Genomic DNA, 22,963 nt, shown 5'->3' with positions numbered 1-22,963 from the left:
AGAGAGTTGCTTGCTAAAATAAAAGAACTCTCATTCAAGAAAAGTGACAGGATCCAGAATCTGTACAAGATTGCATTCACAATATTAAACTTATAATCTAAAATTAGCCAACATGTAAGGGCTTTAAAAATCAGAAGACGGCCGGGCGCAATGGCTCATGACTGTAATCCCAGCATTTTGGGAGGCCGAGGTGGGCAGATCACGAGGTCAGGAGTTCAAGACCAGCCTGGCCAACATGATGAAACCTTGTCTCTACTAAAAATACAAAAATTAGCTGGGCATGGTGGCATGCACCTACCTCTAATCCCAGCTACTTGGGAGGCTGAGGCAGAAAAATCGCTTGAACCCGGGAGGCGGAGGTTGCAGTGAGCCGAGATCATGCCACTGTAAGTAAAAAAATAAAAAAACAGAACACATTCTCTAAAGAAAAGAAAAATCAAGTGAGATTTTATCCTGATCCTAAGATGTTGGAGTTAGCAGTGAAGATTTTAAAGCAGCTATTGTAATCATGCTCAGTGGAGTAAAATAAAATATGCTTGCAACAATTGCAAGGATAGGAATCTCAGAAGAAAAATGTAAATACAGCAAAACAAACATATAAAAATTTTAGAACTGAATTCTAGAACTGCAGCAACGTGGTTGCAAAGTTTTTATACTGTATGTGAACTGGTACAATTGTAGCTGAAAAGGGACTGTAGAAAGATAAGATTATATATTGTAATCCTACAGCAATTATGCTTTTATTGCAAAAGAGTACATGTAAAAATCATGAAAAAATTAAAATAGAATTCTAAAATATCTTCTAATAACGAAAAAGTCAAGACAGAAAGATTAAAGAGGCAAGTAAAATAATAATTAAATAGATTCAAATAAAACTATATCAATATTTAATGTAATTACTAATAATAGGCTAAACACTCAAAAGGGAAAAATTGTCAGAATAGATTAAAAAATACGAGCCCACTATATTCTATATACACAAGACTAACTTTAAATATGAAGACACAGATAGGCTAAAAGTAAATGGAAAGAAATGATAAATCATGTAAATAGTAAGTACAAAAAGATGGAGTAACTATATTAATATCAAATAAAATGAATTTTAAGAAGAAAAATATTAGCAGACACAAAAGTGATAATTCTTCATGTTAAAAGTGGCAATTCATTAAGAAGACTTAATCATAACTATGTTTGTACTTAATAGTTTCACAATATATAAAGAAAAAATTAGCAGATTTAAAAGAGAAGTAGACATTTTTACAATCACAGCTGCAAAGTTTAACACCATTCTCTCAACAATTGCTAAAACAATCATACAAAATATCAACAAAGACACAGGATATCTGAATAACACTATCAACTATCTTGACTCTATTGATGTTTATAGAACACTCAACCCAACAGAGGCATAATACATATTTTATACGTGCACGTAACACATTCACAAAAATAGGCATAATACATATTCTTCACAAGTACACAAAAATATCCTTAACCATAAAACAAATCTCGATAAATGTAAAAGACTGAGAAGAGTGACTTCACCAAAATGGCAGAGTAGAAGCAATCTGGCTTCACTCTCCCCCATGGAAAACTGAAAACAAATATCTAGAGCCAAGATTATCAGCAGCAGTATCTCAGAACTCAAATCTGAGGCCAAAATGATCCCCAGGGCCATAGAGAGGTGAAAAACTCTGAGTAGATGGTACAAGAAATGAACTCTACATCTGTGATGTCCTTTCCCCAAGCTGCCGCTCACTGCACAGAAAAGTCCCCACAGAATCAAACTTTCTACATTAGAAAAAGTGAGATCCAGGCAGACAGCTAGCTTTTCCACCATGTCGAATTTCTTCACTGGAAAACCTTTCCTGCCTAAACCACAGAAAAAATTCTGAGTGGCTGAAAGGAGGAAAAACCCTGAGGGCAGCTTGAGAAAAACAGAGAAGATGGGACTAGCAACGCTGGCCTTTGAAATTGTCCTGTTTATCTCAGCCAAAGGAGATGCCAAATCAGTGCAGCTTTTCAGCAGCATCACACCATAGGTGGTAAGGTCCACAGGTCCCTTGGACATGAAACCCTACCTAGTCTTTCCACACAGCCTGGGTAGCCCCTGCCCAATCGGGATGGGCAGCAGTCTGAATGTTTGTGAGAATCAAGGCAAACCTAGGCTTGAGGAGGTGCCATCTACTGCCAAAAAGGAGGCAGTGAGGTAGGGTAAAAGGGGCTCAACACGCGAACCGCAAAGAACCTCTAAGCAAACACACTCTAAGAAGACCAAAACAAGCCACACAGCAAAGACTGAAATAATTAACTAATCCTTCAGTGCAAAGACATAGATGTATGTCCACAAGAAACAACAGCAAACAGGGAACCATGGTCTCCCTAAACAGACAACGAAAGGAGCCAGTGATCAACCCAGCAAGATGGCGATGTGTGAACTCTCAGATCAAGAATTCCAAATTATCAGTTTTAAGGAAACTCAGTGAACTTCAACATAACACAGAAAATAAATTCAGAAATTTGTCACAGAAATTTAACAAAGAGATTGAAATAATTTTTACAAAATCAAACGCATCTTGGAACTGAGAAATACATTTGCTAAAATAAAAAAATGCATTAAAGGCTATTAACAGCAGAATGGATCAAGCAGAAGAAAGAATCAGTGAGCCTAAAGACAGGTTATTTGAAAACACATTGTAAGAGAAGAAAAAAGAAAATGAAAAGGAACAAACTACACCTACGGGATATAGAAAATAACTCCAAAAGAGCAAATCTAAGAGTCACTGGTGTTAAAGAAGGAGTTGAGAAAGAGTAAGGAGTAGAACGCTTATTCAGAGAAAACAAAACAGAAAACTTTTCAAACATAGAGAAAAATATAAATATCCAGGTACAGGAAGGTCAGAGATCACCAAACAGATTCAATCCAAATAAGACTACCTCAAGGCATACAACAGTCAGACTCTCAGATCTCAAGGACAAAGAAAGGAACATAAAAACAGAATGAGAAAAGAAGCAAATAACATATAAAGGAGCTCCAATCCATCTGGCTACAGACATCTCATCAGAAACCATACAGGTTCAGTAACGAATGGAATGACGGCGGGGTGCGGTGGCTCATGCCAGTAATCCCAGTACTTTGGGAGGCCGAGGCGGGCGGATCACAAGGTCAGGAGATCGAGACTATCCTCGCTAACATGGTGAAACCCCATCTTTACTAAAAATACAAAAAATTAGCCGGGCGCAGTGGCGGGCGCCTGTAGTCCCAGCTACTCGGGAGGCTGAGGCAGGAGAATGGCGCGAACCTGGGAGGCAGAGCTTGCAGTGAGCCGAGATCGCGCCACTGCACTCCAGCCTGGGCGACAGAGTGAGACTCTGTCTCAAAACAAACAAAGAAACAAACAAACAAAACAAAAATGGGATGACATATTCAAAGTGCTGAAAGAAAAAACAAAACTGCCAGCTGAGAATTCCATACCCCAGCAAAACTATTCTTTAAACACAAAAGAAAGTTAAAAGTCTTTCTCAGACAAACAATAGCTGAGAAACTTCATCACCATCAGACCTGTCTTATAAGAAATTCTAAAGGGAATTCTTCAATCTGAAAGAAAAGGACAATAACATACAACAACAAAAAAAAACTGAAAGCGTAAAACCCACTGGTAAAACTAAATACACAAACTCAGAATATTCTAATGTTGTAATTGTGGTATGTAGGACACTCACAGCTCTAGTATGAAGACTAAATGGCAAAACTACAAAAAATAATAACTAAGCAACTTGTTAATATGTAAAGATATAAATTGAGATAACAAAAAGTCAAAATGTGAGGGGATGAAGTTAAAGTGTAGAGGTTATTTTTAGATTTTCCTATGTTGGTTTATTTTCTTTGTGACCTGAGACAAGTCATCATCTGTTTAAAATAACTTGTTCTATCTATGGTTTTTGTAAGCATCATGGTAACCACAAAGCAAAACCTGTAGTAGATACACTAAAAATAAAAGCAATGAATTAAAACATACTACCAGAAAATAATCACTTACCCACAAAGGAAGATGGTAAGAAAGGAAGAAAAAAAGAGGAGTTACAAAACAACCAGAAAACAGGTAGCAAAATAAGTTACTTATCAATAACTCCTTGCCTATCAATATTAACATTGAATGTAAGAGTAGCCTAAATTCTTCAGTTAAAACAATAAAACATAGAGTAACTGGGTGGATTAAAAAAAAAAAAAAAAACAGGACCCAACTATATGCTTCCCATAAGAAAATCACTACCTGTAAAGACACAACAGACTGAAAGTGAAGAAATGGAAAAAGATATTCCATGCAAGCAGAAACCAATTAAAAAGCAGGAGTAGCTATACTTTTATATTAGATAAAACACAGTTGATCCATGAATAATTCAAAGGTTAAGGGTGCCAACCCCCTGCACAGTTGAAAATTTGTGTATAGCTTTTGGCTCCCAAGAAACTTAACTACTAATAGCCTACTGTTAACCAAAAGCCTTATCAATTACATAAACAGTCAATTAACACATAGACTAGCATCTACATATATTTTATGCACTCAAGATGTATCTAACTTTTTAAAATTTTTTTCAATATTTCTAGGCTATGTGCTTCGTCTGTGAGTTTTATCAAATTGTCACAAATCTCCAAAAAAATTTCCAATATATTTACTGAAAAAAATCTGCATACAAGTAAACCCACACAGTTCAAACCCATGTTGTTCAAGGGTCAATTGTAGACTACAAGTTAAAGATCATAAAAAGAGACAAAATGGTCACTATATAATGATAAAGGGGTCAGTTCAGTGAGAGGATATAACAAATGTAAATATATATGCACACAACACTGGAGCACCCAAATATGTAAAGCAAACATCAATGGATCTAAAGGGAAAATAGACCGCAATACAATAATAGTAGGGGACCTCACCACCCTACTCTCAGTAATTGACAGATCATCCAGACAGAAAATCAACAAACACATTGAAGTTAAACTATACATTAGACTAGATAGACCTAAGTGATATTTACAACCTTTCACTCATCTGCTGCAGAACACACATTCTTCTCATCAGCCCGTGGACATTCTCCACTATAGGACACAAAACAAGTCTCAACAAATTCAGAAAGATCAAAATCATATCGAGCATCTTTTTTGGGCACAGTGAAATAAAACTAGAAATCAATAACAGGAACTTTGAAAATTACAAAAACACATGGAAATTAAACAATATGCTCCTGAATAATCAATGGGTCAATGAAGAAATTAAGAAGAAAATTCTAAAATGTCTTGAAACAAATGGAAATGGAAATGGAACATATGAAAATACACGGAATACAACAAAATCAGTACCAACGGGGAAGTTTATAGCAATGTAAGATTGAAATAATACAATGTATGTGCTCTGATCACAAAGAAATTAAATTAGAAATCCATAGCAATAAGATAATTGAGAAAACCCAAATAATTAGATGGCGTACTTCTAAATAATCTTCTGGTCAAAGAAGATATCATGAAAGAAATTAGAAAATATTTTGAACTGAGTAACAATGAAATTATCATTGATATCAAATTTGTGGACTGCAACTAAATCAATGCCTAAAGGGAAATTAATAACTGTGTTTAAATGCCTATGTTAAAAATAAGAAAGATCTAGAGTCAGTGATCTGAGATCTCACCTTATAAAATGAAAAAACAAGAGCAAATTAAACTCAAAGTAAGGAGAGAGAAGAAAATATAACAAAGAGCAGAAAACAATAAAATAAAAAATGAACATGCAATAAAAAAGAAAAGTGAAAAGAAAATCTGATTCTTTGAAAAGACCAACAAACTGGCAAGCCTCAATAGATTGAGCAAAACAAAAAATAGAGGTACAAATTATCAGAATAAGGAATGAAAAAAGGGGCATAAGACTAGAGATACTATGGATATTAGAAGGATAATAAGGGAATATGTTATACAAGTTTAAGCTAACAGATCTGACAATGTAGATGAAATGGGCAAATTCTTTTAATAACGTGAATTAAGAAAATCGATCCAAGATGAAATCAATAAATTAAATTTCCCTATATCAAAAAAAGAAAATTGAATTCATAATTTAAAACTTTCTCACAGAGAAAACTCTAGGGCAAGATTGCTCTAATAATATTTCTATCAAATATTTAATAAATAACACCCAAATCTACACAAAGTCCTTCAGAAAACAGAGAAAGAGGAAATACTTCCCAGCTCATTGTATAAGGTCAGTATTATCCTAATACAAAACTAGACAAAGATAACACAAGAAAAAAAAAGAACTATAATTCAATATTTCTCATAAACATGGACACAAAAATTCTAACAAAATGTTGGTGAATGAAATACAGCAATATATATAAAGCCTAATGTATTCATGATTAAGTAATGTTTATGCCAGGAATGCAGACTTAGTTTAATATTCAAAACTCAGCCAATGTAATTCTCCATATTAACATGAAAAAGAAGAAAAGGCATATCATCATTTTAATTGATACTAAAAAATTTAAAAGCATTTTATAAAATTCAATACCCTTTCATTACAAAAATTCATAGTTTGGAATGGAAGGAACAAACTCAATCTAATTAAGGGCATCTGTGAAAAACCTATATAGCCAACTTCATATTCAGTGAAGGTCAATGGTGAAAGGTTCAGTGCTTTCAGCCCAAGATCAGGAATGAAGGACAGTCATCCACCCTCACTTTTCTTCAACATTATACTGAGGTATCTAACTAATGGGCTCAAAGAAATAAATAAAACCATAATAAAGGGAAAAGAATAATGAAAACTTTCTTTACTGATATGATATGATCATGTATATAAAAAATTCTGAGGAATAAACAAAAAAAGAACTAACAATTGAATTTAAGAAAGTCATAGAACACAGTCAATTTACAAATATCCATTACATTTCTATATTCTAATAATAAGAAATTAGAAAATAAAAATTTTTAATAATATACTTAAGAATAAATTTAATAAGAAATGTAGAAGACCTCTACACTGAAAACTATAAATCAACACAAAAGGAAACTGAAGAAAAATACACTGTGCTCATAGATTGATCAATAGTGTTAAGATGGCAGTTCTCCCCCAAACTGATCTATACAGTCAATGCAGTCCCGATCAGAATCTTAGTAGACAACTTTAAAAAAATTGACAAGCTGATTTTAAAATTTACATGAGGGGCCAGGCGCAGTGGCTCACACCTGTAATCCCAGCACTTTCGGAGGACAAGGGGGGGCAGATCACCTGAGGTCAGGAGTTCAAGACCAGCCTGGTCCAAAATGGTGAAACCTCATCTCTACTAAAAATACAAAAATTAGCTGGATGTGGTGGTGGGCACCTGTAATCCCAGCTACTCTGGAGGCTGAGGCAAAAGAATTGCTTGAATCTGGGAGGCGGAGACTGCAATGAGCTGAGATGGCACCACTGCATTCCACCCTGGGCGACAGAGCGAGGTTCTGTCATAAAAAAAAAAAAACAAAAAATTAAAAAAATTAAAAATATAATAAAATTTACATGAAAAGTCAAAGGACTGATAATAGGCAAAACAATTTTGGAAAAGAAGAATAAAATTGGGGGATTTAATTTCATGCTGACTATAAAGCTACTGTAATTAAACAGGGTGATATTGGCATAAAGATAGGCATGTAATTAATGGAGCTTGGAGACTCCAGAAATAGACAATTATGAGCAATGCTGCTATGGACATTTGTGAATATGAATCCTGATACACCTAAGCATAACTTTCTATAGGGCACATGTCAAGGAGTATAGGTATAGTCAATAGGTATGGGTATCTTCTACTCACTGCAAAGACTGTTTTCTAAAAGCAGCATACCAATTTACTCTTGTCAGCAATAAATGGCAGTTTCTGTCTTTGAGCACCCTTTCCAGCACTTGTAATTGTTGAACTTTTTCATTCTAGCCAATCTGATAAGTACACAGTGTTACCTTATCAAAGTTCCAATTTTCATTTCCCTGAGTAATAATAAGCATATATGTCTTTTCATACATTACTTGGTCATTTAGATATCCTATTTGTAATATGCTTATTTAAGTCACTTCCCATTTCTCTATTAGATAACATGTATTTTTACTATTAATTTGAAGAAGTTTTAAAATATACTCTAGATATAAACCTTTTATTCGTTACATGACAAATAAAAATATGTTACAAACATATTTTCCCATCTCGTGGTTTGCTGTTTGCCTCTCATTATTTGTATTTTGGTGAGCAAAAGATCTTAATTTTAATGTAGTCCAATATATTAATCCTTTAGAGAGCCCAGAAATAAACCCATACATCTATGGCCAATTGATTTTTGACATAGGTTTCAAGAATATACAATGGGAAAAAGATAGTCTCTTCAATAAATGGTGTTGGGAGAACTGGATATCCATATACAGAAGAGTGAAATTAGATCTTTTTCTCATACGATGTGAACAAATCAACTCAAAATAGACTAAAGATTTAAATATAAGACTTGAGACTATAAAACTACTAGAAGAAAACATGCTCCACAACATTGGCCTGGGCAGTAATTGATATAGATAGATAGATAGATAGATAGATAGATAGATAGATAGATAGATAGATAGATATGGATATAGATATCCGAAAACACAGGCAACAAAATTTATATATATATAAAATAGACAAATGGATAGTATCAAACTAAAAAGCTGCTGCATAGCAAATGAAACGATTAACAGAAGGAAGAGACAATCCACAGAATGAGAGAAAATATTTGCAAATCATGTACCTGGCAAGAGGTTAATAGCCAAAATACATAAAGAACCTAAACAACTCCAGAGCAAAAAAACTAATTACCCAATTTTAAAAATGGGCAAAGGATCTGAATATATAGTTCTCAAAAGAAGACATACAAATGGCCAACAGGTTCATGAAGAAAATGCTCAACATCACTAATCATCAGAGAAATGCAAATTAAGACCATAATGAGATATCACCTCACACCTGTGAGAATGGCTATTTACCAAACTGAGGAAAGATTAACATTGGCAAGGATGTGAAGAAAAGGAAACCCTTGTACCCTATTGCTGGATATAAATTATTATAGCCATTCTGTAAAATGGTATGGAAGTTCCTCAAAAAACTTAAAATAGAACAACCAAATGATCCAGCCATCCCACTGCTGGGTATATATCCAAAGGAACTTAAATCAATGTCTAAGGGCTACCTGTACTCCCATGTTCATTGCAGCATTATTTACAATAGTCAAGATATGCAATCAACCTAGGCATCTGTCAACAGATAAATGGATAAAGAAATGTGGTATATAACCTAATGGATTGCTACTCAACCCTATAAAGAAGTAAATCCTGTCATTTTCAACAATGTGGATGAACCTGGAAGACATTAGGTTAAGTGAATTAAGGTAGGCACAGAAAGACAGACACTGTACAATCTCACTTACGTGGGATCTAAAAAAGCCAAACTCACAGAAGTGGAAAATAGAATGATGGTTACTGGAGGCTGGGGGGTGCAGGGAAGTAGGGAGGGAATAGGGAGATATTGGTCAAAGAGTACAAAGTTTCAGTTCAACAGGAAGAATAAGTTTTTGAGGTCTATTGCACATTACATAATAATGTATTATACATTTCAAAAAACCTAAGACAGTAAATTCCAAATGTCTCACCACAAAAACAGAGGTGCTAGATATGCTAATTAGATTGATTTAGTAATTCCTTTTTGTATACATGTATCAAAACATCACATTGTACCCCATAAATGTATATTGTGATTTATCAATTAAAATAATATTAATGAAAATCAATAATTACTAAAATATATAAATAAAAGTAGTTAATATTGTCTTAAAAACAAATACATCAATCCTTTATTTTATAGTTAGAGCTTTCTGAGTCTTGTTTTTCCACACTCTGAAGTCTTGAAGGCATTCACCTGTATTACCTTCGAAAAGCTTTTCCACTTTGCCATTCACACTTAGGTCTACTGACTGCCTAGAATTATCTTTTATATATAGTGTGAGAAAAGGATCCTATTTCATTTTTTCCTTTATGGATATCAAATTGTCCTGGCGTTATTTATTGAAAAGATAGCCTTTTCCCAATATTTATATATACTTATATACTAATATACACATATAAATAAGTACTTGGCTTATGTCCCCTGTTCCATTGGTCTATTTTTCAGTCTTCATGCCAATATCACACTATCTTAATCATTATAAATTTACAAGTCTTGATAGTGAGTAGGCCAATTTTTCTCAAGCTTTTTTTTTCCTTCAAAGGTGTCTTAATTATTCTGTCTTTAATTTTAGTATCCATTTTTCTTCAAGCGTGTCTTAACTATTCTCAGTCTTTTAATATTAGTATTTTTAGGTTAATTTTAGAATAAGTTTGTCAGGTTCTGGAAAATACCTGACTGGTATTTTGTTTTGTTTTCATGTCAGATGGTTAACGTGCCTACATCATAACAGGGTTCGAGGGAGGCACATCTCATGCATGAGGGTGAAAACCCAGTCATCACTTACGAACTACAAAAGGATCTGCCTGGTAGTTTGACTGGGATTGCACTGAATCTTCATATGCATTTGGAAGAACCAACATCTTCATACTCCGTGTGAGCTTGAAAAATAATATGCATTCTATGGTTGTTGACTGCAGACCTCTATATATGGACATTAAGTAGTTTTGTTAGTCATGCTGTTCAAATTTTCCACATTATTAATAATTTTTGTCTGCTGCTTCTATCAATTACTGACAGAGGTATTTCATCATATCCCACTATAATTGCAGACTTGTCTATTTCTCTTTGTAGTTCTATCAATTTTTGATTTATGTATTTTAAGCATATTATTAAAAGTATAGAAATTTAAAACGCGATAAAGCCAAATTTTTAAAAATTCAAAAGCAAAGAAACTAGCAACTATAAAAAGTGGTAACAAACTTGAAAAAAAACCTGGAAGTTCTAGAATTGGGGAAAAAGGCAATAACAAAAGTTAAGAATTCAATGGATGGCTTTAATCCCAAATTAGATACAGCAGAATTATTAAACTAAAAATTAGGTTAAAAGAATCTATCAAGATGAAGTATGGACAGCAGACAAAAAGATGGAAAATACAGAGAAGTAGGTAAAAGACATAGAACATGCAATGAGAATATGCAGCGCGCAATTAATTGTTATTCCCAAAAGAGAAGCAAAAGCAATATTTGAGAAGATAGAGAATTTTCCAAAACTGATTAATTTAAGAAGCCTAGAGGGCTTAAGTCGACCAGGACCATCTTAATCCAATTTCAAGGCTTGGGGTTTTGTGATCTACCCGGAGGACTGGAAGCTCAGTTGTGGGAGCTGTTTTATTCCTGATTAACTCCTACTTACCAGGGTGAAATCCTTGATGGGTTCTGAATTCTTTTTTTTTTTTTTTTCTTTTTCTTTTTTTCATTTTTTGAGACGGAGTCTCGCTCTGTCGCCAGGCTGGAGTATAGTGGTGTGATCTCGGCTCACTGCAAGCTCCGCCTCCCGGGTTCACGCCATTCTCCTGCCTCAGCCTCCCAAGTAGGTGGGACTACAGGCGGCTACCATCACGCCCAGATAATTTTTGTATTTTTAGTAGAGACGGGGTTTCACCATGTTGGCCAGGATGGTCTCAATCTCTTGACCTCGTGATCCGCCCGCCTCGGCCTCCCAAAGTGCTGGAATTACAGGCCTGAGCCACCGCGCCCGGCCAGGTTCTGAATTCTTATTGTTTTTCACTCTAGTCTCAGAAAGCTGCCAAAGTGCAGCTCAGAACCTTAGATACTGTATCAGCTAGTGACCATTGAGAAAAATGAAACCACCCTATATTTCTAGCAGAGAAGGATTTAGTTGTTTATAATCAGAGAATTGGTAGTAAAAATGTTGCAAGAACTGGAGAAGTGAAAGGGAAAGGAAATATCACCCAGAGATCAAGAAGTCACCTTAACCCCTGGGTTGTAGTCCACCAGCCCACACGATTGCCACTGCTCCTGGCACTGCTACTGAAAATGACCTACCGCTTCTAAGAAGCTCAGGAGTTAACCCCATCAATGCTGCAGAAACCAACACCAAAGTTGTTGGAGCCTACAATAAGTCACTGTCAGAAGTGGAAAAATGGCTTTTTTCTCTCCTCGTCCAATCAACTTAAGACCACGGGGGCAACGCTATAGTTCGAAAAAGACAGATTTATTCGTCTGTTGCAACGAGGGAAACACCAGAGGAACCATGGAGCATCTCACCAAACACCAGGAAAGACAGCGTTATTACAGGATTTGGGAGAAGTGTACAGTTTAGATGAAATTAAAGTGAAGCAGTGTTTGAATAGGCTCAAAGCAAAACAAGGCTGTGTGTAAAGGGTCAATATCATATCTGGACTGCAAAGTGGATCAGAGTCCTGTTTCCTTCGAAACTAAAAAGTTAAGATACATGTGGTATGTTGTGTCTAGAAATCACTTATCTGAAACTCAGCATACAGATTGGATATCAAGTTTGCTTCTCTATATCAAAGAGGCTCAGATCCTTCAGGCAAAACTGAGATGTGTTTTATTCTTATAGATATAATTTCAAACCACAAATGATTTTTGGAAAAGGTATTTTCCAATGAGTAGGAAAGCAGTGGTGATTTAAAGAAGATATTATGACACTATACAACTGCAGCATGGCCTTAGAGAAATATTGTTTCCCATTAACTTTACACTTTGGCAGCTTTCTGGAACTAGAGAGAAAAACATTAAGAATCCAGGACCTATCAAGGCTTTATCTGTGGCTGTTGCCCTAGCCTGTTGAATGGCAGGACAGATTGTTACTTTCTCAGTCTGGGTTCACTGTTATATTCTCATCCCTTTCTTCCATTTTCAGTCTTCCTCTAGTGTTTCCCATTGCCAGAACCTAACTAGATCTCAGCTGGCAAGAAAGTCTGGGAAAAGTAGTTTTCAGGCTTGTTGCCCTGAGATACAAAGCAAAGAGATGAAATGGAGCTGAGAGCCAAGAGGAAAAACAACTGACAGAATATATCTTTTCAAGTTCAGTAAATGCTCAAGAACAAAGTAGTCTTGGATGATGATCTCATCTCTCTAGTTTCTCATCTCCACCGAGATCTTAGCCCATAGTTCCTGACTACCTTTTTCATTCTCTGACACATAAAATGATTTTTAGATTTTCCAGCTATTTTAGTTGTTTGAACAGAGTGGATATTTTAGCAAAATTACCTACTTCACCATTACCCATCCCTTCTACTTTCTGTTCAGTCTTATCAAACTAATCTTCCTAAACTCAGCTCTGATCATGTCACTTCCCTTTTCAAATATCTCACATGGTTCTGTGTCTCCTGAAAAAATCTAACATTTTTACCTGATATTCAGGGACCTCTATGATCCACTTTTGATGTAACACTTCATTCATAATTATCTTCCTCTACTCTCTCATAGGAATAGGATGAGTCACTTCTACAAGAGACTAGGGTCACCAGCCATGGTGGCTCATTCCCGTAATCTCAGCACTGTGAGAGACTGAGGCAGGAGAATCACTTGGGTCCAGGATTTCAGGACCAGCCTGGGCAACATAGCAAGACCTCGTCTCTACTAAAAATTTAAAAATTAGCTGGGTGTGGTGGCATGCACCTGTAGTCCAAGCTACTGAGGATGCTGATGCAGGAGGATCGTTTGAGCCCAGTAGGCTGAGGCTGCAGTGAACTATGATCATTCCACTGCGCTGTGGTCTGGGTGACAGAGCTAGCCCCTGTCTCGAAAAAAAAAAAAAGAGATGAGAGTCAAGCCACCAGTATGAGACTGCCTTCTTTAAAGCACAAGGACCACGGGTGGATGTTTATAACAAGCAATATCAATCACCGTCCTTCTGTGCTTTTCAAATGAACCTGGGACAGAGTCCCCATTTTCTGCGGTAAGGATCGGAGCCCAGGGTTTCCCATGCATATGTGTCCTGCTTTAAGGAAGCTGGTCTGACGAAATAAAGTCGTTGGGAAAAGCAGTCTTATGTGCACAGCATTTCAACCTCCTCTGGGCTGTGCAAGAACTGGACTTGGGCCTAAAACACTTCCTTACAAAGAGAAAAGGAGTCCTCACAGGCTGCACTGGACTTATCACCTTGTGTGGGAATGCTTTGCCCTGTTTCAGACTCAATGTGTACCCCTTTGTTCTGCTTAAGCATGTGTGTCTTATGGCATTCGACCAACCCCACCACTGTTCTATATACAGCTATAGTCTATCTGTGCCTGCAGGGAGGGGATGGGGTCCTTCCGCCATATATCCGTTCATGCAGGGAGGGGATGGGGTCCTTCTGCTGTAACACAGAGGGATGTGTTGCAGGCTCAACAGAGGACCTCAGACATTACACTCTCAGCATTGGGTTCTCATCTCCATTATAAATCCTATTGGTGTAGCAACAGCTGTCAAGAGGTGGCTCAATATGTGCAAATGAGAAATGAGACCAGCCAGTGTGTAGACAGGAACATTTTGCCTGTAGATGGTCCTTGATGCTGACCTCAATAGGTTATGTGAGCTCAGGACAGAAGGCAATTTTTCTTAGATTGCACCATTCAATGTCCTTAAATTCAGTGCAACCCAAAATGTTTTTCCAAGCTATCACTTCAGTAAAATTGAATCCATATTATTTTAATTCATGGACAATTGACCAGTTAACAAGTTGTATGGTGAGAACAAGTTAATGTCTCCAAACTTTTCAAACCTTGTATTGAAACTCATTTTTTCAGTTATTTTTCTTGGAAACAAAAAGCTTATTATGCAAAAAATAAGTAAATAAATAAACAAACTAACCCCAAACTCCATATGGTCTCAATTAGTCAAGCCCTAGGGGAGCTTAGAAGTGTGTGGTGGGGGAAAGGGTTTGTGACCTAAGAGAACCCATGTTTCTCCCTTTATAAGACTGTAATTCTTCCCTCTCTTTGACTTTCAGATCTCCCCTCCAGATCTATGACATCAAATTTTTCACCCAACGTATTTTATAGTTGTAAAGGGTTTTTTCATCTATCATTTCACTAGATCCTCAGTAAAACCCTATGAAGTCAGCATCTCTAGACAGTAATTTTGTTCCCATTAAGTAGAAGGGAAGGTGAGGCTGAAAGAAGTTAGATATCTAAAGGCTCACAGTGTGATATCAAGCCTTCAAAATAGCCCCCAGTGACCCCTGCCTCCCACATTGTACCAGGATTGGCCAGTGTGACCAATAGCAATCAGCTGAAGTAATGCTTTGTCACTTCCAATACTAGGTTATAAAAAGTCAATGACTTCAGTCTTAAGATCTCATGTTCATTCTCTCTCTCTAACACACCTCTCTCTCTCTCTCTCTCTCTCTCCCTCTCTCTCTCTCCTATGACAGGCCAATGTGATAAGGAACTGAAGTCTCCAGCCAACAGCTAGAAAGAAACTGAGACCTGCCAAAAACCATATGAGTGAGATTGAAAGTAGATCCTTCAGCCCCAGTCAAGCCTTCTGATGAGTTAAACACAGAAAAGGGTGAGCAATTCAGATTCATATTGACTCTGAAATATTGAAGTCACCTTTAGGCCATAAATTGCACCCATGTTATGGATATTAGATAGCATCTACTAAAGCCTTCTCATTTTATAGATGAGGAAAATGACACCCAGAAAGGAGAGGGACTTACCCCAGGTCACACAGCAAATGGTAGAAACAAGACCAGGACCCAGGCTCTCTCATATTGTATAGGAGTCTTCTATTACTTTTCCATCATCAAGACTGCTCTTAAATGTTTTCCAATGATGGTGTTCCTGGAGGCAGGCTAAACAGGTCAATCTCAGGCCAAAATTTAAAATGAATAGCAGAAATCATTAATGTATCCCCATGCCCTACTTCACAAATGGATTTTGGGGGGAATTTTGCTTAAATCTGAGACAAGCTAAAGGAAAAGAGAAGAGAGATGCTGATGCTGCATTTTTTTAAGAGCTGGGTCAGAGACACAGAAGAGAGAAATGAAATGAGGTTACTGACCACCCACTTTAAAACATTATACAATTCATATGGATCTTAAGAGGGCACCAAGAAAGAATGTTTATCAATTTCCCATAAAAATATGAAGTCAGTCTTTTAATAAGACACAAATATTGCAACTTCTTGGAGCAATTTTGCTGAGTGGGCTGAACTGGTATAGAATGCCCTTGTTACATATATCTTCACTATAATATACCCACTTAGTAATTTAGTGCTTGAGACCATCAAAATTATTTTGCGTTGCCATGTATTAGATTTCCAGTAATGGACAAAGCATTTTCACTGATCCATCTCTGCATGCACTGTAGTAGTTTAAATACTTTAACATCATTACAATTAAATACAAATGTTCTCCAAATATTTTTACTAACATTTAATTTATTTAAATGTCTAAAGCTACTGAAGTAAAGGTGAATAAGGTGAGTCATGTTAAAATGGTTACTAGCCTGATCGATGGGCCAAGAAGATACTGGGGAAAAAGAAATGGTCCCAAAATTAGCCCATAGTCAGCGATAAATAGGCCTAAATACCGACTGGGAAGCCCTGCTTCACTACTAACAAGAAAGAGGACACTCTCTCCCAACTTAGTTATAACAACAGTCACTACTAACATTTATTGAGCATTTACTCTATGCTAAGCAGTGTACCAAGCACTTCATATGTGTTATTTTGCATAACCTTTATAAGAACCCTATCAGGTAGCTAGTATTACATTTATTTTACCCATTTTATAGATTAAAAATATGAAACTTAAGGAAATTAATTAGCTTTACCAAGATCTACTGGCTAATAAGAGTAGATCTCAGAGATTCAATGACACCAGGCCTCTCTCTCCACCTCTCATTTCTTTTTTTTTTCCCCCACCTCTCATTTCTTTCTCATTCTCAACATCAACTTTATTCTTCAGCCTCCTCCATGTGTCTAGAAATGGGCAAAAGAGGTTCTGGGGTGACATTTATAAAGTTATTGATCCAAGGAAAAGTCTCTAGTTTGCATCCAATCCCAGGGAAGACGTAGATTAGCCTGGCTTAGGCCACATACCCAATTCTGGGTCAATCATTATGTCTGAGAAGGCTCCATGATTACCTATATCCATGGTCATATACCCACCCCTGCGATCAATAAAACAGATGCTATGACTGGCAGCATTATCAGGTTCCATTATTGTAGTGGATCAGCATCCTAAAGGAAGTGGAAGGGTGCCAGACAGACAAAAACAGATACCCACTTTAGTAGCCTGTCGTGGTAGTGGTAAACCCCAGAGTGGAGAAGTGTCCAGGCAATGGTCAGTCCAGAGGAATTCCATAAAGAAGATGAAATGTCAGCTGGGTGCCGTGGCTCATGCCTGTAATCCCAGCACTTTGAGAGGCTGAGGCAGGCAGATCGCTTGAGGCCAGGAGTTTGAGACCAGCCTGGCCAATATGGCGAGACCCCATCTCTACTAAAAATACAAAAATTAGCCTGGCATGGTGGCATACACCTGTCATCCCAGTTTCTTGGGAGGCTGAGGCAGGAGAATTACATGAACCCAGGAGGCAGAGGCTGTGGTGAGCAGAGATCGCACCACTGCACTCTAGCCTGGGTGACAGGGCAAGACTCAGTCTCAAAAACAAAACAAAACAAAACAAAAAAACAGTTGAAACATGAAGAAAGGCATGAAGATGTTAAATATCATAATGCATCCAGAGATCTGCAAGTATTTTAGATGTGTCTGGATAGTAAGATGTGTATGGCAAGGGAGAGAGATCTGAGATTAAAGGCTGTGAAGAACTTTGTACAATACCCTAAGGAGCTGGTGCTTCATTCTAAAAGCAAGGATAAAGTCATTGAAGGGTTTTAAGAAAGGGGAAAATATGAGGGGTTCTGATTGTGAGAAAGATTAGTCTTTGGACAAATATAAAAGGAAGGTTAGGAGTAGAAAAGTCAGTGAGAAAATCTACAATAGTCCAGGCAAGAGAAAGTGAGAAAATGAACAGCAGCAGTTTGCAGTGGGCTTGGTGATCAAGATATATATATATATATATATGCGCGCGCGTGTGTGTGTGTGTGTGTATTTTTTTTTTTTTTTTTTTTTTTTTTTTTTTTTTTTTGAGAGAGACAGGGTCTCACTCTGTCACCCAGGCTGGAGTGCAGTAGCACAATCTCAGGTCACTGCAACCTCCGCCTCCCGGGTTCAAACGATTCTCCCGCTTCACAGTAGCTGAGATTACAGCCTCAAGAGTAGTCAGGATTACAGGTGCCTGCCACCAAGCCCAGCAAACTTTTTGTATTTTTAGTAGAGATGGGGTTTCACCATGTTGGCCAGGCTGGTCTTGAACTCTTGACCTCAAGTGATGCACCCGCCTCGGTCTCCCAAAGTGCTGGGATTATAGACGTGAGCCACTGAGCCCAGCCATTGTCCCTTATATATTAAGGTGGTAGAATAAAGTTGACTATGTCATAACAGTGAGTTATTCATCCCAGTATGTGCATTGGAATTGAGGTGAATTAATTCCTTTTCTGTAACATTTTCTAATAAATTGCATCTACTTCTTGAGCTTAAATTGAATAAATAAAGTATCTCACAAAAATGTAAAGTTTTACTGTATTCATAGCCTTGTGGTTAAGATTATACTCCGTAGGAGATACCAATAAATATGCTTATGTAAATGGCAGACCATCACAGGAGAGTTTATTCGCAAATGAAGTTGTGAGAAATTTCAGCAATAAAATAGCAGATAAAGTAGTGATAATTTAAATTTAATAATTCAGAATATATATAGGTATAATTTTAAAGGGACATGTGTTCCCCCTGGCTAATGTTCTTTCTTGTTTGCCATTTTATGTTCATCAGTTTGTTAATATTCTTTAACCTCCTCTCTTATCTTTAAGACAAAAGGTAATGAACTAGCCCGATGCTTTGTATTCCCATAGTCACTTGGGTTAATAGTTTTCCTTTTCCTCTTCTACTTTCTTTAAATCTATTGAGATTTGTAGCAATAGTTCAGCCATAATTATGACCTAGAAAAATTGTGAATAGGAAAATAGGGCAATCACTTCACTATGTATATGTATATCAAAACATCATATTGTATGCTTTAAATATATACAGTTTTTAAAAGAAAGAAAAATGTGGCTTTTAGTTTTCTTTTTCAATGTATGTTAAGTGCCTAGCGCAGCAGCTGGCCGGAAGGAGGAGCTCAGACGCAGGCAAAACAGGGCTTGATCTGCATCCTGCTAGTCCGTGCCCTCCCATATGCAAATGAAGCCCTGGCAGAAGAAGTCCATCCGTTGAAGTGCTTCCTAGTGAACTCTCTGCCATGTCTGCTATTTAGTTCCTTCTACGTCTTACCCAGAAAATAGAGGCTTGTTTAGGGCTATTATAGTCAGTAATCTTTCATGATAAATAATCATAAATCAGACATGCAGAATATCTACTCTCCTCCTAAAGAAAAAATAAGTAATTTCTTACAATGCCAATCAGTTGGTTTGTTTTTGCTCCAGTAGACTGGCTGAGAGCCATTAATAGAAGGAAATGCACATTGCAGGTAACTGGAAGGATAAATCTTAGTAAAATTAGTACAATAAACCTTTCTCAATTACAAATATACTTCATATAATTCTAATACAGGTGACCCTGGCTTTAAGCCTGCTGCTGAACTTACAATCCTTCCTACTTTGACATTACTGTAAAGACCAAACCCCATACTGAGGACTATTAATTTCTGCAAGCAATGCTTCAGCATTTTGATTGCCAGCCTGATATGCTTACCGAGTATCATATGACAATAACTCAGCTACCATGGTCTACAGGTACACTTAGAGTAAGTGAATCTCTTTCAAGCTGCTCTACATTTTATTTTAGCATGTTTTCTGTAAACTTTTAAATGCCCTGCTCTTCATTGTGTCTAAGAAAAAGATGTGATGGAATGCATAGAGTACCAAAACTACTTAAAAAAAAGGTGAGATAATCCATCTCTTTGAAAAGGAAACATGAGAGTTTTAACAGTAAGAGAAATGAATGTGAATGAGCAAACTTCCAAGTCCACTTGTCACACTCACAAACACAAGCACAACTCTGAAGTTCAAGGAAACATCTCTGGAGACTCTGAAGAGCACTGAGCCAATGCAATGGTATTTTTAAAAATAAAATGGAATGATTTATCACATGGAAGACCTTACATTGTGTGATGGGGGGTGCCAAAGCCATGCTCCACTTCTTTGTCTAGTTGAATAGAGCAAGTCACCTTGGAAAGGGGCTTCCTTAGTCAAAATATAATTTTCAAGGGCCTCTCTTATCTAATAGATACTCACTGCTCCAGAAATGTCTGTAACAGATTTTTTTTTAATGTTCTGACAAAGGCAGGCCCTTGCAGTGTGTAACTTGTGGCAGGAGAAGTTACACCAAGTTTAATGATTTTTCTTTAGGCTTTTTAAGAAGGCAGGAACAAAGACCTCAACACTTGCTCCCCAAAATTCAAAGTTAAGAAAAACAGAGTAGATCAGGATTGGCTGACCCAAGTTCTGCTGGCCAAGGAGACCTAAAGGATATTAAAAGTAAACTCACCACTGGGACTGAGCTGATGTCCAGTTCCAGCACAGGAATCTTAAGAGTTCTGGTCCAGGCTGGAGCTAGAAGCACCTCTAAACTTGATTGCCTGGCACCATAATTCCTGCTTTGAAAATGCAATGGCTGAACATGCAAATTCAAACAACAATGAAAAGGCTCCAGCAATCAAGCCTGTGGCACTACAAGCAGAACCTGGGTAAGCACAAGCATTGTTCCAGGGTCTATAAGAGTCCATTGTAACCTGCAAGGCTAACCTTCAGATAAGATATAGAGCACCTGCAAAAGCACCATCAGGGCTGACCTGTTTCTACATTTATCACACCAGAATTTCAACTGATTAGAAAATTGGAAATGAAGGAAAGTCCATAGAATGAAAACATTAACTGCCTGTTAAAAGGTCATGTCAGGAATTGAACATTTAATTCAATATAAATTCAATAAATTCAAAAATTAATTCAAAGTAATTGTGTTTCTAATGAAATTAAGAAGCAATTCCAGGCCGGGCACAGTGGCTCATGCCTGCAATCCCAGCACTTTGGGAGGCTGAGGCCGGTGGATCACCTTAGCTCAGGAGTTGGAGAGCACCCTGGGCAATATGGTGAAACCTCATCTCTACTGAACGTACAAAAATTAGCCAGGCGTGGTGGCGGGCACCTGTAATCTCAGCTACTCAGGAGACTGAGGCAGGAGAATCGCTTGAACCTGGGAGGTGGAGGTTGCAGTGAGCCGAGATAGAGCCATTGCACTCCAGCCTGGGCGACAAGAGTGAAACTCTGCCAAAAAAAAAAAAAAAAAAAAAAAAAGAAATAATTGCATTTACAATAGCATCCAAAATAATGAAATACTTAGGAATAAAGTTAACAAAAAAAAATACAAAACATACGCTTTGAAAACTACAAAACATTGTTGAAAGAAATTAAAGAAGATCTAAAAACATAGAAAATCGTCCCAAATTCATCGATTTAAAGAATTCATGTTGTTAAAATGGCAATATTCCCCAAACTGATCTACAGTTTCAATGCAATCCTAATCAAAACCCGAGCTGCCTTTTGGAAGAAACTGACAAGCTAATCCTGAAATTCACATAGAAATGCAAGAGACCCAGTATAGCCAAAACAATATTGAAGAAAAATGAAGCTGAAGGATTCACACTTTCTGATTTACTACAAAACTTACTACACAGCTGAAATAATCAAGACAGTAGTGTGCTACTGGCATAATGATAGACATATAGAGTATAATTGAGAATTCAGAAATGAACCCATACATTTATGCACAATTGTTTTTCTACCATGATACCAAGACCATTTAATGGAGAAGGAATAGTCTTTTCCACAAATGGTTCTGAGAAAACTGGATATTCATATACAAAAAAAAAAATGTGTACCACTTCCATACACAAAAATGAACTAATTTTTAATTCAAAATAATTGTGTTTCTAATGAAATTAAGAAGCAATTCCAGGCCAGGCACGGTGGCTCATGCCTGTAATCCCAGCACATAAAAGTTGATCATAGTCCTAAATGTAAGAGCTAAAATATAAAACTCATAGAAGAATGCTGTATTAGGGTTCTCTAGAGAGACGAAACTAGTAGGAGATATATATATATAAAATACTTAATAAACTTCCCTTTACATATATATATCATATATATGATATAGTTATATCATATATATGATATATATAATAGTTGTATCAACTAACACTCTACTGTAAAAAGCATGAGTCTCCCCATCAATCTGCATCCTCACCTGCATTTTGTTTTTCAAACTTCTTGATTTTTTGCATTTTATGTGCACATATATATGAGATATATATATAAAGGGAAGTTTATTAAGTATTAACTTACACAATCACAAGGTCCCACCATAGGCTATCTGCAAGCTGAGGAGCAACAAGAGCCAGTCTGAGTCTCAGAACTGAAGAACTTGGAGTCCCTTGTTGGAGGGCAGGAAGCATCCAGCCCTGGAGAAAGATGTAGGCTGGGAGCCTAGGCCAGTCTCTCATTTTCATGTTTTTCTGACTGCTTTATATTCCCTGGCAGCTGATTAGATTGTGCCCACCAGATTAAAGGTAGATCCGCCTTCCCCAGCCCAGTGACTCAAATGTTAATCTCTTTTGGCAACACCCTCACAGACACACCCAGGATCAATAGTTTGTATCCTTCAATCCAATCAAGTTGACACTCAGTATTAACCATCACACATACATAGGTGCAAATCTTTGTGGTCTTGTATAGGACAGTGGTTTCTTAGATGTAACACCAAAAGCACAAGAAACAAGAGTTTCTTGAAAAGGACAAATTTGACTTTATAAGAATTTAGAATTTTTATCCTTCAGAGGACACCACCAAGAAAATGAAAAGACAACCTGCAGAATGATAGAAAATATCTGCAA

General features: G+C 36.9%; 1 long non-coding RNA gene and 1 other non-coding gene across 2 annotated transcripts in view; both read right to left on the bottom strand.

The window, feature by feature from the left end:
- LINC01630 (long intergenic non-protein coding RNA 1630) overlaps positions 1-22,963 on the bottom strand; it is a 170,428-nt gene that overhangs the window by 5,562 nt on the left and 141,903 nt on the right. The window lies entirely within an intron of this gene.
- Positions 10,460-10,561, bottom strand: LOC124904365 (small nucleolar RNA U13). The gene has a single exon (XR_007066483.1). It is a non-coding gene; the product is annotated as a small nucleolar RNA U13 (small nucleolar RNA).

Source organism: Homo sapiens, chromosome 18, assembly GCF_000001405.40.
Source record: "Homo sapiens chromosome 18, GRCh38.p14 Primary Assembly".
NCBI classification, from domain to species: domain Eukaryota; kingdom Metazoa; phylum Chordata; class Mammalia; order Primates; family Hominidae; genus Homo; species Homo sapiens.
Note: the sequence above shows the minus strand (reverse complement) of the source record. Positions and strands in the feature narration are given on the sequence as shown.